At 59.3% G+C, this 14,762-nt stretch overlaps 2 protein-coding genes across 3 annotated transcripts, besides 18 other annotated features; both read right to left on the reverse strand.

Annotated features, from left to right (window-relative positions):
* Window positions 1-11: 11 nt before the first annotated feature.
* On the reverse strand, window positions 12-2,184 carry PTPRCAP (protein tyrosine phosphatase receptor type C associated protein). Its single transcript, NM_005608.3, has 2 exons — window positions 2,119-2,184; window positions 12-852 (listed from the first exon to the last, which is right to left on the reverse strand). The coding sequence occupies exons 1-2, from the start codon at window positions 2,119-2,121 to the stop codon at window positions 235-237; spliced, it is 621 nt and encodes a 206-aa protein (NP_005599.1). The 5' UTR covers window positions 2,122-2,184; the 3' UTR covers window positions 12-234.
* On the reverse strand, window positions 12-8,311 carry CORO1B (coronin 1B). 2 transcript variants are annotated; one of them, NM_001018070.3, is made up of 12 exons: window positions 8,255-8,311; window positions 7,906-7,967; window positions 6,930-7,132; window positions 6,468-6,590; window positions 6,235-6,364; window positions 5,835-6,016; window positions 5,627-5,746; window positions 4,837-4,941; window positions 4,620-4,765; window positions 4,288-4,345; window positions 3,173-3,451; window positions 12-3,003 (listed from the first exon to the last, which is right to left on the reverse strand). In NM_001018070.3, exons 3-12 carry the CDS (start codon window positions 7,128-7,130, stop codon window positions 2,878-2,880), a joined length of 1,470 nt encoding a protein of 489 aa, NP_001018080.1. In that variant the 5' UTR covers window positions 7,131-7,132; window positions 7,906-7,967; window positions 8,255-8,311; the 3' UTR covers window positions 12-2,877. The 2 variants fall into 2 exon arrangements, with proteins under 2 accessions (NP_001018080.1, NP_065174.1); NM_020441.3 differs by lacking the exon at window positions 8,255-8,311 and having other exon boundaries at window positions 7,906-7,978.
* Window positions 564-1,325: an enhancer, noted in NCBI's record as "H3K27ac-H3K4me1 hESC enhancer chr11:67203533-67204294 (GRCh37/hg19 assembly coordinates)". NCBI's record gives its function as "activates a minimal SCP1, AML or CMV promoter by ChIP-STARR-seq in naive H9 embryonic stem cells {active_cell/tissue: H9 hESC(naive)}" and the evidence as "EXISTENCE:reporter gene assay evidence [ECO:0000049][PMID:30033119]".
* Window positions 1,228-1,287: an enhancer, noted in NCBI's record as "active region_5097". NCBI's record gives its function as "activates an Ori minimal core promoter by ATAC-STARR-seq in GM12878 lymphoblastoid cells {active_cell/tissue: GM12878}" and the evidence as "EXISTENCE:reporter gene assay evidence [ECO:0000049][PMID:35858748]".
* Window positions 1,508-1,877: a silencer, noted in NCBI's record as "silent region_3633". NCBI's record gives its function as "represses an Ori minimal core promoter by ATAC-STARR-seq in GM12878 lymphoblastoid cells {active_cell/tissue: GM12878}" and the evidence as "EXISTENCE:reporter gene assay evidence [ECO:0000049][PMID:35858748]".
* Window positions 1,508-2,135: a biological region, named in NCBI's record as "H3K27ac-H3K4me1 hESC enhancer GRCh37_chr11:67204572-67205104".
* Window positions 1,603-2,135: an enhancer, noted in NCBI's record as "H3K27ac-H3K4me1 hESC enhancer chr11:67204572-67205104 (GRCh37/hg19 assembly coordinates)". NCBI's record gives its function as "activates a minimal SCP1, AML or CMV promoter by ChIP-STARR-seq in primed H9 embryonic stem cells {active_cell/tissue: H9 hESC(primed)}" and the evidence as "EXISTENCE:reporter gene assay evidence [ECO:0000049][PMID:30033119]".
* Window positions 2,136-2,668: an enhancer, noted in NCBI's record as "H3K27ac-H3K4me1 hESC enhancer chr11:67205105-67205637 (GRCh37/hg19 assembly coordinates)". NCBI's record gives its function as "activates a minimal SCP1, AML or CMV promoter by ChIP-STARR-seq in primed H9 embryonic stem cells {active_cell/tissue: H9 hESC(primed)}" and the evidence as "EXISTENCE:reporter gene assay evidence [ECO:0000049][PMID:30033119]".
* Window positions 2,669-3,201: an enhancer, noted in NCBI's record as "H3K27ac-H3K4me1 hESC enhancer chr11:67205638-67206170 (GRCh37/hg19 assembly coordinates)". NCBI's record gives its function as "activates a minimal SCP1, AML or CMV promoter by ChIP-STARR-seq in naive H9 embryonic stem cells {active_cell/tissue: H9 hESC(naive)}" and the evidence as "EXISTENCE:reporter gene assay evidence [ECO:0000049][PMID:30033119]".
* Window positions 2,669-3,267: a biological region, named in NCBI's record as "H3K27ac-H3K4me1 hESC enhancer GRCh37_chr11:67205638-67206170".
* Window positions 3,128-3,267: a silencer, noted in NCBI's record as "silent region_3634". NCBI's record gives its function as "represses an Ori minimal core promoter by ATAC-STARR-seq in GM12878 lymphoblastoid cells {active_cell/tissue: GM12878}" and the evidence as "EXISTENCE:reporter gene assay evidence [ECO:0000049][PMID:35858748]".
* Window positions 3,202-3,733: an enhancer, noted in NCBI's record as "H3K27ac-H3K4me1 hESC enhancer chr11:67206171-67206702 (GRCh37/hg19 assembly coordinates)". NCBI's record gives its function as "activates a minimal SCP1, AML or CMV promoter by ChIP-STARR-seq in naive H9 embryonic stem cells {active_cell/tissue: H9 hESC(naive)}" and the evidence as "EXISTENCE:reporter gene assay evidence [ECO:0000049][PMID:30033119]".
* Window positions 3,860-3,919: an enhancer, noted in NCBI's record as "active region_5098". NCBI's record gives its function as "activates an Ori minimal core promoter by ATAC-STARR-seq in GM12878 lymphoblastoid cells {active_cell/tissue: GM12878}" and the evidence as "EXISTENCE:reporter gene assay evidence [ECO:0000049][PMID:35858748]".
* Window positions 5,915-5,994: an enhancer, noted in NCBI's record as "active region_5099". NCBI's record gives its function as "activates an Ori minimal core promoter by ATAC-STARR-seq in GM12878 lymphoblastoid cells {active_cell/tissue: GM12878}" and the evidence as "EXISTENCE:reporter gene assay evidence [ECO:0000049][PMID:35858748]".
* Window positions 6,194-7,033: an enhancer, noted in NCBI's record as "H3K4me1 hESC enhancer chr11:67209163-67210002 (GRCh37/hg19 assembly coordinates)". NCBI's record gives its function as "activates a minimal SCP1, AML or CMV promoter by ChIP-STARR-seq in primed H9 embryonic stem cells {active_cell/tissue: H9 hESC(primed)}" and the evidence as "EXISTENCE:reporter gene assay evidence [ECO:0000049][PMID:30033119]".
* Window positions 7,874-8,713: an enhancer, noted in NCBI's record as "H3K27ac hESC enhancer chr11:67210843-67211682 (GRCh37/hg19 assembly coordinates)". NCBI's record gives its function as "activates a minimal SCP1, AML or CMV promoter by ChIP-STARR-seq in primed H9 embryonic stem cells {active_cell/tissue: H9 hESC(primed)}" and the evidence as "EXISTENCE:reporter gene assay evidence [ECO:0000049][PMID:30033119]".
* Window positions 7,894-7,943: a silencer, noted in NCBI's record as "silent region_3635". NCBI's record gives its function as "represses an Ori minimal core promoter by ATAC-STARR-seq in GM12878 lymphoblastoid cells {active_cell/tissue: GM12878}" and the evidence as "EXISTENCE:reporter gene assay evidence [ECO:0000049][PMID:35858748]".
* Window positions 7,984-8,243: a silencer, noted in NCBI's record as "silent region_3636". NCBI's record gives its function as "represses an Ori minimal core promoter by ATAC-STARR-seq in GM12878 lymphoblastoid cells {active_cell/tissue: GM12878}" and the evidence as "EXISTENCE:reporter gene assay evidence [ECO:0000049][PMID:35858748]".
* Window positions 8,374-8,473: an enhancer, noted in NCBI's record as "active region_5100". NCBI's record gives its function as "activates an Ori minimal core promoter by ATAC-STARR-seq in GM12878 lymphoblastoid cells {active_cell/tissue: GM12878}" and the evidence as "EXISTENCE:reporter gene assay evidence [ECO:0000049][PMID:35858748]".
* Window positions 10,684-10,763: an enhancer, noted in NCBI's record as "active region_5101". NCBI's record gives its function as "activates an Ori minimal core promoter by ATAC-STARR-seq in GM12878 lymphoblastoid cells {active_cell/tissue: GM12878}" and the evidence as "EXISTENCE:reporter gene assay evidence [ECO:0000049][PMID:35858748]".

Consider the following 14,762-nt stretch of genomic DNA (forward strand, 5'->3'; position numbering starts at 1 on the left):
GACCACAGGGCCACAGGCTGAAGGAGTTTTATTTCAAATGGTTGCCTGATGCCTGTGGTTGGGGGGGGCCGTTCCCGTGGTGAGCGGGGTACACATGGACTTGGGAACTGGTAGGGGGTGACAGTCTGAGGCATGGTCATGTGGGCTGGGGGTCCAGTCCAGCCATGGCATCTTGGGAAGCAGAGGCACGGGGAGTGAGCGGCTGTGACAGGGATGGGACACCAAGACCGGCCTCTACAGTGCGGTGACATGGAGGCCCTGGCCCCCAGCTGCCCTGGCGCTGTCATCCCAGGCTGCGCTGCCAGCAAAGGCGTGCAGGTCACTCAGCAGGGCCTCAGCACTGCCCCCTGCGCTCGCTGGTCCTGGGGAGCCGAGGACCAGGTCGCCCTCCGTGTCACTGTCTCTGGCTTCCTCAGCCCGCACGGGGACCTGCTCTGGGCTGGACGCCTCTCCACATTGCTGCTCGCCTTCCCCAGGGTCAGCCTGCAGGCCACCATCCGCGACGTGGTCATAGTCTGTGTCCTGCTCATCCTCCTGTCGCTCAAGGTCATTGTCTGTGGACCCCAGCTCAGCTCGGGCCTGCAGCCAGCGACCTGGGGGGCTGGCCCAGAGCAGGCGCCGCGTGCGGCCCCACAGCGCGGCACCTAGGCGGGCCGGGTGGTAGTAGCCCCCTGAGTCACGGCTGAGGCGGCGCCAGGCCAGTGCTAGGCCAGTGGCCAGCAGTAGGAGCAGCAGCAGCAGCAGGACAACGGTGACAGAGCTGGAGCCCACGCTGTCCTCCGCGCTGCCACCCGAGCCCAAGGCCCCTGGCAGGGCCAGCAGCATCCCGAGCCCTAAGGTGCAGGGCAGAGCCTGTGGGAGACAGGCAGGGGCTCAGAGGGCTCAGCACCTGGGGTGGGGCCTGGTGTGGGGCAGGCTGGGTGACCAAGACCACTTTCGTTTTTTTCTCTTTGGGATCCTCTTGGGACAGCCAAGCAGAAAAGGCCAAGGCCTTATTTGGTCAACCAGGCTCTGGCCCTGTGAGATCAGCCCCCATCCCTCCAGCCTCCTCCCTACCACTCACCTCCCCCAACAGCTGCATTAAGCCACCTGCCTGGGGCCTTCGCACTGGCTGTTCCCTCTGCCCGGAAAGCTCCACCTCCTCCCATCCTCCCCTCCCCCGGGCTGCATGGCCTGCTCACCGTGCTCAAACTTCACCCCAGTGAGGCTGAACCTGACCTTAACCTCTACCCTGATGTCTATCACTGCAGCCCACCCCAGCACCCCCCAGCACTCAGTGCCTTTTTCCTTCCATGTCACCTAACGCAGGAGATAACTGTACTCATTTTTTATGTCTATTGTCTTATCTACCCCCCACAATAAGCTGCTAGGAAACGGGGGCTTTTTGGGTCAAGCATGTTAGTAGGTGCTCAATAAGTATGGATTAAATGTGTCTAGGCTGCCTGGGTGGGTGGGAGAGGAGATGGGAGGGAGGGAAGGAGGTTGCTAGCTGGTGTCAGGGCTGGCTCTCCCTGAGGCCTGGGATGGGGGATGGAGGGGCCTGGATGCACCCAGAGGCAACTGCTCATCTTCTGCTTGGCCAGGTCCCCAAACGGGGGTCCGTGAGGCCCCTCTTCCTCCCTCCCCACCACGGGGCTGCCCCAGCGGCAGGGTTTCCGTTCCACTCCCAGTCCCTGAGGGCCACAGGCGTGCAGGGCCGGGGGCTGGGGGGGGCTGGGGGAGGCGGGCGCAGCTGCCAGAGGAAGTCTGCGGTCGGAACAGGCTAGGTGGGGGGTGTCGGGGGAGGGGTGCTGAGGTGCAGCCAGCCTCCCCCACCACCCCAGGCTGTCCGCCCAGGCTCCAGGAATGCAAGTTCCCGCTCACAGGAAGACCAGGTAAGGGCCTTCCCAGGGCTCCTGACAGGGGCCTGGTCCGGTATGGGGTGCTGGGGGCCAGGCCTGGAGTCCCAGGGAGCCCAGCTCAGGTGAGAGAAAGGTTCAGCCTCTGCCATACTCCTCTTAGGTCTCACCTCTTCCCTGGGGCCAATGTGGGGCCCTCCTTAGCTCCACAGGCCCAGACATTCTAGCCCCGACCGCCTGTGGCCCCCATCCCAAGAACCCGGGGGGCTCCGAGGCTTACCATTGGTCCGCAGGCCCCTCCGTGCCGGGCACCCACCTCCAGCTCTGGCTGTGTCGAGCGAGAAGTGAGCTCAGTGCTCGTCTGCAGTGAAGGGTGGCCCAGGCTTCCGCTTCCTGCCCACATACCCCACCTGCCCCTCCCTGCTGCAGGACCCCTGGTCCACACCAGACCCTCCCCAGTCTCTCTGGAGGAGGCTGGGCTGCCGGGCCTGTCCTCCAAGGAAGAAGCAGCACCAACTTGAAGCTGGATGCAGCCTTGCATGTGTTCTCAGGTCTTCTGCCTCAGTTTCCCTGCCTGACAATCCAGGGGAGCAATGCCTGTGGGGCTGCTCACTGCCCCCAGACCTTCTGCACATGTGTGACTCCTGTGACATCCTCTGTCTCCAGGTTTCCAGACTTCTCAGCCCCACCCTTGCAGCAGCAGGTCAGCCTGGCTTTTAGAAAGAGAATTTTATTTGGAATGAAAATATAGAGCCCACCCTCCCGCCTCCTCTGGGGAGGGAGCAGAGGGCTGGGCAGTGGTCGGGGAGATGGTCCCTCAGAGGTCGAGGAGCTCGCCTGGGCGTAGACATCCTCCACAGGAACAGTGAGGAAAGCTGGGCGCTGGCTTCGGCCTGGGCCTGGGACGGGTGGGGGTGGGAACTGACCCCTGCGCTGCCTCAGAGGCTCTGGGCAGCCAGCTAGCCCGGTGCGACCCGCTGGCAGAAGCTGAGTGGGAAGGGGGCGGCGGAGGAGATGAAGGTGGCGTGTGGCTGTGGCCCTACGCATCCCCGTTCTCCATGCGGCCCAGCTGCTCCTCCAGGCGGCAGATGCGGTCGCCCTGCTCCTTGACCAGCGCCCTCAGGGCCCGCAGCTCCTGCATCACCTCCTCCAGCTTCCCAGCCTCCTGTGGGGACATGAAGCAGGGGTAGGGGGCGGTGGTCAGGGGCTGCTAAGCCATAGCCCTCCCAAACCCACCACTACCCCAGAGAGGGACAGCGAATGGCTGAAGCCCACACAGCAGGCCAGGGCCACACCTGGGGCTCCCAGCACCACCCCTGCCTGCGCGTGCATACCCCGGCTCTGGCCAGGCTGCCGCTGGGGGTGGCATCAGCAGCAGTGGTGGTGGAGGCGGGGGCCCCTAGGTGGGAGGAGCCCGGGGCCATGGCGGGCCGGCTGTCAGACAACACGTTGCGCCGGCTGATCTTCAGGTCCCGCTGCTTGCTGGGCACGTAGGCCTCCCGCAGTGAGATGAGGATCGGGTCGGCATCCCGCCCGCTCACCCACTCCTCAGCCTCCAGGGCTGCCTCGGGCCCGGCTGTGTCGGGGTACAGATCATCCTGGAAGAGGTCCGACTGGGCAGGGGGCCGGGGAGGTCAGGATCAGTTAGGAGGCCCCATCAGGGTCCCCTCATCCCTCCCCTGGCCTCCAGGCTTGCACTCTGTTAACCCATTCTCCCACGGCCTGGAAAGCTCAAATCTGGCCTTTAACTTCCTTTCTGGACACCATCAACAGCTCCCTCGGAAGCTTTCCCACCCTTCTGAGCAAGGCCCCTGTCATCACCTTCCCCTGCAAGGCACAGGGGCCACTATGTGGCTTTATGGGATTCTGGGGCCCATGGACTGTGAGCTCCTGGAGCAGGCCCTATCAGCTCAGCTCCACTCCCCAAAATGTGCCTGGCATGTTGAAAGAGCAGTCGGCAAATGCTGGCCAGAGAATCATGGAAGCGTGTCCGAGGCTCTTGGCATCTGAGGCCAAGCCACATGTGGCCCGGTCCCCTCTTCATGGGATTCCCCACTGCAGCCAGACTCCTTGTTCCTCTCTCCATTCCCACCACTGTGCCCTTCGCCTGGCCTGCCCCCAGTGGATGGCGCCACCCCAGCTGTGTTATGGGTCCTGCCTCCTTCAGGAAGATCTGTGTGGCTGCCACTCCCTCCCTGACTGCCTGGTGTCCTTCTCCTGTGGCTCATCCAGAGCAGGGCCCCTGCTCACCCTCTGTCTCATCCCCACTTGCCCCCTGACTGGCACAGCCCAACAGCTGGCTGGTACAAGGGCAAGCTGGCATCTGTCCAGCTCACTGCCCACAAACCATACTAGGTCATGTTCCATTCACAGGCCTCGCCCTGGTCACAACTGCATGGCCCGCTTGCTGGAGAAAGGGCCAAGTGAGCCGAGGGACGGGCGGCCTCACCTTTCTTGGCACAGTCATGACGATGGGCTCACACTTGCGCTCATGCAGTTTGTAGAACCTGGGGATGCAAGGAGGAGCCACGGGTGGAACCCTCACCGCCCCCCCCACCCACCGCCAGCTCTCCTGGCATCCTCCACTTCCAGTCCTCACCCCAGGACCTCCGCAGGCCGACCCCTAAGGTGGCTAGACCCCCACACGGGCTGCCTCGTGACAGTTCTCATGGCCCGCCGGGCCTCCCTGGCGCAAGGTTTCCTGCTCCCAAGCAGCCTCCAATGACCTGACCTCTCACCTTAGATGCCCCTATCCCCGAGTGGCCTCGGTAGCCCTCTTACCGGGCGATCTCGCACTTGCTGACCTCCAGGCCCCGCTTGGGCATGCTGCCCATACCCCGCTGCGGCTCCTTGCTGGTGAACGTGTTCAGGAAGTGGATGTAGGGAGGCTCCTCTGTGATCTCAAAGTACCGGATGCTGGAGTCACCCTGTGTGGGGAGGGGGCTCAGCACCTGGGCACGCCTCTTCCCTGCCCCTCGCCAGCCCTGCCCAGCCCCACCTTGCCGCAGACGTAGACCACACTGGTGTCGGGGTCGTAGAAGGGCAGCAGGGCCCCGTTGCTCGAGTCCAGTTCCTGCAGGGCCATGGGTTCCTCGAGGTTTTCCTGGCACATTGCAGGCAGTCAGGCCAAGCAGAACCTCCTCACCCCCTAATCCCAAACCAGGACGGGCCTTAGCTGGCCTCACTAAGGCCAGCCAGCACTGCCCCTAAATGCAGGTGGGCCCTCTGCCATCTCTATGCCTTTTCCCACATGACGACCCCCACCTGGCCCTCCTGGCTTCACTTTATTCCCAGGGTCCCTCTTTTCCAGCCTCCTCCAGGCCTTAAGACTATGCCCAGGCCACTAAGCAAGTGCTGAAACATACCTCACTGTGGGGAGCTGGGGTGCCAGCGGCACCAGCCCCTGCTCAAGGTGCCCTGGAGGTCACTATGCAGAAGCAGAGAGGGCTGGGGCCAGGAGGCTTGCTGGAGGAGGAGGCTTTCTGGAGGAGCGGGGAGCCCTGTGCAGGCAGTGGGTGGTACAGGCAAGCAAGGGAGAGAAGGGCCCTTCCGTTGGCATGAACAACATGGGCAAAGACACAGAGGCAGTGGGAGGCCATGGGGGAGTGGTGGGGCAGTCGGGCGAGCAGGGGGCAGGAGAGGAAAGTCTGACAGAGTCCTAGGCCCTGAGAGCCTCAAGTTCCAGGCAGAGAAGCTAGGAACCACAGGCCTCCCCAGGGTGAACCCTGCCTGCCTGGCCCAGGGTGGGGCCCAAGTCTCAAGTTTGCCCCCTCAGGCTGGCCACTCACTGGGTCCCAGAGCGCCAGCTGCCGCTCGCTCATTCGGCTGAAGCCTGTGGTGAACACCTTGCCATCTGCCAGGAAGATGGCCCGCATGGGCCGGGCCCCCTCATGAGCCTTCTCCCGCTCCTGTCGGGGGGACAGGCTGGTCAGTGCAGCGCCCTGCTCAAGGTCCTGGGCCTATCCACAGCCATCCTTGCCCTCCAGAGCCACGTACTGCCACCAGGGTGCCCCGACGGGGGTCGATGATGCGCACGCTCTTGTCCTTGCATGCTGAGCAAAACAGGCTGCCATTGTGGTTCCAGCTGACATTGTAGATGAGGTCAGGGTGCAGGCTGTCCAGGCGGTACAGCTCCTCCGCTGTGCCCACATTCCAGATGAGTACCACGTTGTCGCAGCCTGGCAGGTGAGGGTTGTCAGCTCGGGCCGGGTGGGTGGCAGGAGGCCATTAGCTCACCAGGCTGAGGCCCACTCTGCCCACCACCCTGGGACAGACGGGTCTCTCCAACTCTGAGGGCCTCAGCTTTCCCATTTGTCATGTGGGCCCTGGAGGGGCTGCTGGGATGTATGGAGGGGTCCGTGGGGGGGGGGAGCACAAAACGGGGGGCGGTGCAGACCTGCACTGAGCAGCACGTTTCGGGCCGTGGGGTGCCAGGCGATGATGCCCACTCGCTTGGTGTGCCCCTCCAGTACCACCACCGGCTCTGTCAGCGGGGAGGTCAGCCCGTTCTCTGGGATCTGCCACACCTGTGGTAGGGACAGGGCCACCGAGCTCAGTCCTCTGCTGGTCCTATTGCTGGCCCCCTTCGGCCACACCCACGACCCTGGCCCAGCCAGTCCTGTGCCTCACCATGACCGTGCAGTCCTCCGAGCCGCTGGCTATGACTTCGTCGTTGTGAGGACACCAGTCGATGTCCAGGACAGGTCCCGTGTGCCCACACACCGTCGGGTAGGCCTTGTCAATGCGGCCCGTCTGTGGGCACGAGGGGGCAGTCAGTGGGCTCCATCCCTCCCGAAGCCTTGGTCTTCCCCTCCATGGAGTGGGAATGACATGCACGTCCCGGCTCACAGGTGGCCCAGATGTGACTGTGCCCCACTTGCCAGGTGAGCAGGAAATGTTTGCTGCCTCTAACCCTGCCTCTATGGCAACAGGCTACTTTCCATCTGTGCTAACACTTGGGGCGATAAATCTGGGTTATAACACCTGCCCAGCAGTGTGAGAAACGGCAAGATGAGGGATTCAAGGTGTGCAGAAAGGCCCAGTAGGGGTGGCCGAGGTGCCTCCTCTTCCCCCAACCCTGACAGGACCCACCTTGCTTAGGGGGAGCACCAGAAAGGCACCCCCTCCACTGGCCTCCACAATCACCGCCAGGAACTTGGGGTTGACGGCGCAGAAGGTGCTGTCCCAGGTAACACGGGACACGCGAATGTCCTCATAGCACTGGTCGTTCTTGACCGGCTGCCCGAACACATGCCGGAATTTGCTCTGCCGGACCACTTTGCGGAAGGACATGTCTGCGGGACAGAGAGGCCTGGGTCAGTCCGGCCCATCCCAACAACTCCAGCCCTCCCCAGGCTGCTGAAGGTGAGCCGGGAGGATGCAACCGGGGGCCAGGCCACCGTAACCCTCCTGGGTCTCGGTTTACCCAGTTACAGAATGGGGTCACAGGTGCAGAGCCTGGCCGCCTGTCACCCCGCAGGCAGTGATCTGAGAGGTAAATGCTCCGGCCCTGACCACTGCTGAGTCCTGAGGGGCTTTGCAGGACGCAGGGCCCCTCCCTGGCTCTGGTGTGTGTCGGGGGCAGGAGGTGGGAGGTGCCGGGGTTGGAGAGCTCTCAGCTCTACTGTAGGTCCCAGCCAGTCGGGAGCAGCCTCCTTCCTGCTCCCAGAGATTTGGAGGCTAGGTAATGGGGAAGAAGGAGAGAGGAAGCAGGAAAAGTCTCTCTACTGTGGGGCCGAGTGAGTGCCCAGTTCTGAGTCCCAGGGAATGTCCAGGGAGCCCCGGCATGGCCCCCAGGAAGGGACGGGGTCGGGACGCAGCTGTGGGCCGCGAAGCAACCCAGAGCGGCCTCGAATCGGGGTCCAGGGTGAACCAGGAGCCCAACTTCCAGGGACCTCCGCCCAGGAGAGGAGAGGCTGGGCGGCCAAGGGGAGTGGGACTGAGTGGGGTAGAGGGGAGGCGAAAGGCTCCTGGGACCCGCGATCCCCCCTCAGCCCCCTCAGCCCGGCCCCTGCAGCCCCGCCCAGCCCCCAGCCCGCGCCCCTAGCCCCGGCCCTGCCGCGCTCACCGGGGGCACCGGGGGCGCAGGGGGCTGCGGCACCGGCTTCGGGCGGCTCCGGATCCCGGCCTCTGGGAAGCAGGAAGCAGGATTCAGGAAGTGACAGAGGGACCCGGAGCGGGGGCGGGGCAGGGGCTCGCGGGGGCGGGGCCGAGGTCACGCGCGGAGGGGCTGGGCGGGAGGCTGAGCGGCGCCGGGGGGCCGGGAGCGGGGCCGCCGGGGACGGGGCCAGAGAGAGCCCCTTTCCTAGGACCCGGTGGAGCGCCCCCACCGCAGCTCCTCCGGAAGAAGGGGGCGGGGCGGGGCAGGGCCGACGGCGGCCGCCGCAGAGGCGCCGCAGGTGCGGGTGCAGCCTTACAGCGGACCCGAGGCCCCTTCGCGTTCTTGCTCCTCATAATGGCATCCGCAGGAGTCTCCAGGATTGGGTGAGGCCCCGCCTTCCCGGCCCCCGACGGAACGCACACCTCCAAGGGGCCCCATTACCGCCCCCAACAAATAAATGTAGAATCTACACGGACAGTGGATATGTTCACGTGACTCTTTTTAAGTTATCAAAGTTAATGCTCTTTTTTTTTTTTTTTTTTTTTTTTTGAGACGGAGTTTTTGTCACCCAGGCTGGAGTGCAGTGGCGCGATCTCGGCCCACTGCAACCTCCGCCCTCCCAGGTTCAAGAAATTCACCCCAGTAGCTGGGACTACAGGCTTATACTACCACGCCCGGCTAATTTTTTGTATGTTTAGTAGAGACGGGGTTTCACCATGTTAGCCAGGATGGTCTCGATTTCCCGACCTCGTGATCCGCCCGCCTCGGCCTCCCAAAGTGCTGGGATTACAGGCGTGAGACACCATGCCCGGCCTAAATTTCATGCTCTTGGTTAACAATGTAAAGAAAACAACAGCAGGTGTTGGGGTGGTTTTTTTTTTTTTTTTTGAGGCAAGGTCTGTCACTACCGGGCTAGAATGTAGTGCCATGATCATGGCTCACTACAGGCTCGACCTCCTAGGCTCAAGGGATCCTCCTGCCTCAGCCTCCCAAGTAGCTGGGACTACAGACACACACCACCACGCCTGGCTAATTTTTCTTTTACTTTTTGTAGAGATGGGGTCTCTTGCTCTGTCGCCCAGGCTGGTGTGTTTTTTGTTTTGTTTTGAGATGGAGTCTCGCTCTGTCTCCCAGCCTATAGTGCAATGGCGCGATCTCGGCTCACTGCAACTTCTGCCTCCCGTGTTCAAGCAATTCTCCTGCCTCAGCCTCCCAATTCGCTGGGATTACAGGTGCCTGCTACCATACCCTGCTATTTTTTTTGTATTTTTAGTAGAGATAGGGTTTCACCATGTTGGCCAGGCTGCTCTTGAACTCCCGGGCTCAAGCAATCCTCCTGCCTTAGCCTCCCAGAGTGCTGGGATTACAGTTGTGAGCCACCGTGCCCATCCAGAAAATAGCAGTGTTTATGGAGCGAGTGGAAGACCCAGGAGTCCCATTTTTCAGGGTAAACACCTGTGCATTCTGCTGAGCTTTCTTATTACAATTTGAAAGGGGGCCATGGCCAGTGAGTCCCTTGCACCTTGCCTTCTTTTCTCCACCATCTCCCTCGAAGGCCTGGAGATCCATTCACAGGCCTCTCTCTTTCTCTAGCCAGCGCCTGTGACAAGGAGCCCAGACTGGCCTCTCCAGACCCACCCCATCCCGTTCCACAGGTGGAATGTACCCCCGTTCCCTTAGGCCAGCGGCTCTGGGGCACCGGCTACTTCCCTTATTCTTTCCTTGAGCATCCACTGCCCTGGCTGACCGATGGCACCCTCCCTTTCCCAGAAAGAGATGGATGGAGGACGAAGCGGGGGAAGAGCAGAGGTCACAGGAGCCTTGTCTCTGGCTAAAAGAGGCCCCCACTGTGTGTCTGAGGGTGACCTCGGGCTTGTCTCCCATCTCATTCCCATTGCCACACCCCATTGAGGAAACAGGCACAGAGAGGTGCGGTGCCTGCCTGAGGTCATCCAGCCGGATGCAATCCCCATCGGCTTGGGTCCAAAGCCCTTGCTTTTCCTAGTGCTCTATAAACCCTGGGGCTAGAAGGATCATCTAGATCCCACCCACCTTCCTTCCCACCCCGAGGCCTGGGCACATCCTGTTCTCTCCATCTGGAAGCTCTTTCCTCAGATCCCAAAAAGGCTCCTTTCCCCACTCGATTCAGGTCTCTGGTCAGACATCACCTCCTCCTAGGGCTCTCCTGGACCATTCCTCACCCAGCCACTCTTTGGTCTTACTTGTCCTGACTGCATTGTTCTTTTTTTGGGAGACAGGGTCTTGCTCAGTTGCCCAGGCTGGAGTGCAGTGGCACGGTCCTAGCTCACTACCGCCTCACACTCTGGGGCTCAGTCCTCCCGCCTCAGCCTCCCAAGTAGCTGGGACTACAGGCACGTACCACCATGCCTAGCTAATTTTTATTTTTGTAGAGATGGAGGTCTCCTATGTTGTCCAGGCTGGTTCCAAACTCCTGGCCTCAAAAAATCCTCCTGCCTCAGCCTCCCAAAACTCTGGGATTACAGGTGTGAGCCACCACCCGGCCTGTGTTCTCCAGCGCCGCCTGATGTTGCATCAGGTGCTTATTGGTGTATTTGGTTTGTGTCGGCCTCCACCAGGATGTCAGCAAATTGAGGGGAAGGACTTTGCCTATCTTCCTACTGTATTCCCAGCACCCTGAACAAGATCCAACACTCAGTATGGGATCAAGTAATGTATGAGGAATGAATGAATGAGCAGCAGCCCTGAATGTAGAATTGAACAATACTCATAATCACAATTCTCAGGATCAATGTCTGGCACCTATGAAGGAGAGGGAAGGAAGGGCATCTCTCACCGGAGAAGGAGTGAGTCTTCCAGACGGCAGCAGGAGACTGGTCCCCTGGGATGTGGTAGGCAGGAGGTGTGTGGCTGGGCAATGTCTTGGGGCTGAGCCCACCTTCATGCCCATTTTCTCTAACACAAAACCCTCCTCCATGGACCACTGAGAGAACTCTTTTTTTTTTTTTTTTGGAGACAGAGTCTTGCTCTGTTGTACAGGCTGGAGTGCAGTGACGCGATCTCGGCTTACTGCAACGGAAACCACCTTTGCAAAACTATGACTGAGACAGTGAAAGAGATCTAACTTCACCAACCATCTTGCTTCTAATCTCTCTCTTTTTTTTTTTTTTTTTTTGAGACAGAGTCTCGCTCTGTCGCCCAGGCTGGAGTGCAGTGGTGCGATCTCGGCTCACTGCAAGCTCCGCCTGCTGGGTTCACGCCATTCTCCTGCCTCAGCCTCCCGAGTATTTGGGAATACAGGCGCCCACCACCTCACCTGGCTAATTTTTTTTGTATTTTTAATAGAGACAGGGTTTCACTGTGTTAGCCAGGATGGTCTCAATCTCCTGATCTTGTGATCAGCCCATCTCGGCCTCCCAAAGTGCTGGGATTACAGGCATGAGCCACCTCATCTGGCCCTTGCTTCTAATCTCTAAACCGTCCTTGTTCATTTCTGGGCATAGGCTGAACTAACTTTGGGAGAAACTTAGTTTATAAACAAAGATGGTAACAGCCCTTTCCCAAAGCAGACTTCCCTGTTGCCTGGGGACTAGATTGCCTTTGTAGGACTAACATTAGCCACAAGATTAGAAATTATGGTTTAGGGCCGGGCATGGTGGCTCACGCCTGTAATCCCAGCACTTTGGGAGGCCGAGGCGGGCGGACCACCTGAGGTCGGGAGTTCGAGATCACCCTGGCCAACATGGTGAAACACCGTCTCTACTAAAAAATGCAAAATTAGCTGGGTGTGGTAGCACATGCCTGTAATCCCAGCTACTCGGGAGGCTGAGGTAGGAGAATCGCTTGAACCCGGGAGGCGGAGGTTGTGGTGAGCTGAGATCACGCCATTGCATTCCAGCCTGGGGCAACAAGAGCAAAACTCTGTCTCAAAAAAACAAAACAAACAAACAAACAAAAAAGAAATTATGGTTTAGGAGTTATGCAGCTGGAGGCTATAAGATTCGGACCCTCCCTAAACTGCTCCTAAGGTCAGCGCTTGAGATATTTGCAGACCCTGCCCTTGATGGATCAGCTGGCACCACCAGATCAATCAACTGGCTCATCTGATCTTGTGGCCCCCACCCAGGAACTGACTCAGTGCAAGATGACAGCTTTGATTCCCTCTGATTTCATCCTTGACCAATCAGCACCGCTGGCTCACTGGCTTCCCACCACCCACCAAGTTATCCTTAAAAACTCAGCTCCCTGAGAATGCTCAGGGAGTCTGATTTGAGTAAGAATAAAACTGCAGTCTCCTGCACAGCCGGCTCTGCGTGAATTGGCTCTGTCTAGGCAGCAGGCAAGGCGAACCCCTCGGGGGTTTACACAACCCGCGCTTCCTGGGTTCAAGCAATTCTCCTGCCTCAGCCTCCCGAGTAGCTGGGATTACAGGCATGCGCCACCACACCCGGCAAATTTTTTGTATTTGTATAGATGAGGTTTCACCATGTTGGCCAGGCTGGCCTTGAACTCCTGACCTCAGTTGATCTGCCTGCCTTGGCTTCCTAAAGTGCTGGGATCACAGGCGTGAGCCACCGTGCCTGGCCTGAGAACTCCTCTTTATTCCGCAAAACCCTTCAGGCATTCTACCCCATCCTGTCCCACAGGTGGAGTCTGCCCCGCCTCCCTCAGGCTGGCGGCTTTGGGGTACCAGCTACCTCACTTATTCCTTTCTTGAGCATCCGCTGCTCTGGCTGACCAAGGGTGATGGTCTGCTGCTCTTTCTTCTGGACAGAAATCACGCATTATGGGTGGGATTCCCTTTGGGGTCCTTGGACGTGGGACTGGCCCACTCCCCAAGAGGTAGGGTTTGGAGTGTGGACCAGAGCTGAAAGCAAGTGGCTGATGCTGAGGTTTTATTTCCCAATCTGCCTGCCATGCTGAAAAGGCCCTGGGAGCCCTGCCCAGAAAAAGGGAGAAGGGCACTGCGGAGTGCCCTAATGGGGACCGAAGTCCAGGCCCTGCGCTCAGAGTGTGGACTGCAGTGGGATGGGGAGGGTGAGAACTTCCCTTGTGGAACAGGAGGCAGTGCCATGGTGGGGAGGCCTGGGGGGCAGGCGATCTGCCACTCAGGCGCTGGCCTGTGGCTCAGTATTGGTCCCAGGGCTGAGTGAGACCGGGGGGTGCCCACTGCTGTCATCAAATTAATGGCTAACAATCACGAACACTTCATAGGGATTCACGCTCCTGCAAGATGGGTACCATTATTATGATCCTCATTTTACAGACGAGGAAACTGAGTCCCAAAGAGGCTAAGAGCTTTGTGGAAGGTCACACAGCCTGTGAGTGGTGGAGCCAGGATTCAAACAACCCCTGATGGTCACCAGAGAGTGCACTCTTTTTTTTTTTTTTTTTTTTTTTTTTTTTAGAGACAGAGTCTTTCTGTGTGCCCAGGCTGGAGTGCAGTGGTGCGATCTCGGCTCACTGCAAGCTCCGCCTCCCAGGTTCACGCCATTCTCCTGCCTCAGCCTCCCGAGTAGCTGGAACTACAGGTGCCCACCACCACGCCCAGCTAATTTTTTTTTTTTTTGTATTTTTAGTAGAGACAGGGTTTCACCATGTTAGCCAGGATGGTCTCGATCTCCTGACCTTGTGATCTGCCTGCCTCAGGGTCCCAAAGTGCTGGGATTACAGGCGTAAGCCACTGCGCCCAGCCAAGAGGGCAAACCCTTAACCTCACCCAAGTGGCTCCAGAATGGAAGGCTGGCCAGAAAGGCATCTAGCGAGTGCCCAAGAAATACTGGATGAATGAATTCAATAAATGCATGCCTGGCCAGAAATCTCTCTCCCATGGGCCTCAGTGCCCGCAATTCCATCACTACGACTATGCTTCTGGTATCACCACCACCACCGCCCACAGCACTTCCCATCCCTGGGCTCAGTCAATGATCAGAACTGCCAAGCCTGCAAGGGGAACATGATCACTCCATTTTACAGAGGAGAAAACAGGCTGAGAGGAAGGAAGTTAGGAACCAGAACCCAGACCTGACTGTATCACTCTAGGCTGCCTGCACAGCCTGCTGCATTTGGAAAATGCAGGTGTCTCTGGGAAGGGTTGCACATCTGACATCATTGTCATTTACACCTGCCGGAAAGGGCGTCTCAGTTGCTGAAGGTCACGATACTGAGCTAATGGGATAAGGGGGCATGACTGGAACACTGGGGGTAAGGAGAACGCAGGTGGGGTGGGTGCCAGGAGAGGACGATGGGTAGGAAAAGGGAAGTGGAGTGGGGGTTGGAAGATAGACCTTCAGCACTTCTAGTTTTTTCTGCAGCATCAGCAGCTTGAGAGGGAAGAGCTGGTTCTGCCCTAGAGAAGCTGTGTGACCTCTGGGAGCCTTTGCCCTTTCTAATTTTTTTTTTTTTTTTTGAGATGGAGTCTTGCTCTGTCGCCAGGCTGGAGTGCAGTGGTACAATCCCGGCTCACTGCAACCTCTGCCTCCCGGGTTCAAGCAATTCTCCTGCCTCAGCCTCCCGAGTAGCTGGGATTACAGGTGTGCGCCGCTACGCCCAGCTAATTTTTGTACTTTTAATAGAGACGGGGTTTCACCATGTTGGCCAGGATGGTCTTGATCTTTTGACCTTGTGATCCGCCCGCCTCGGCCTCCCAAAGTGCTGGGATTACAGGCGTGAGCCACCGCGCCCGGCCGTCTTTGCCTTTGCCCTTCCTAGACCCACTGGTGCCCTGAGCTCTGTGTGCTTGGACAACTTCCTATCTGTGCACTTGGGCTCAGACAGAGGGAGGCTGTTATTCAGGCAGGATCGGGGCCCTCTGTACCTGCAGCCCCCACAAAGAATCTTGTGCA

This window comes from Homo sapiens, chromosome 11, assembly GCF_000001405.40.
Source record: "Homo sapiens chromosome 11, GRCh38.p14 Primary Assembly".
Classification (NCBI taxonomy): Eukaryota; Metazoa; Chordata; class Mammalia; order Primates; family Hominidae; genus Homo; species Homo sapiens.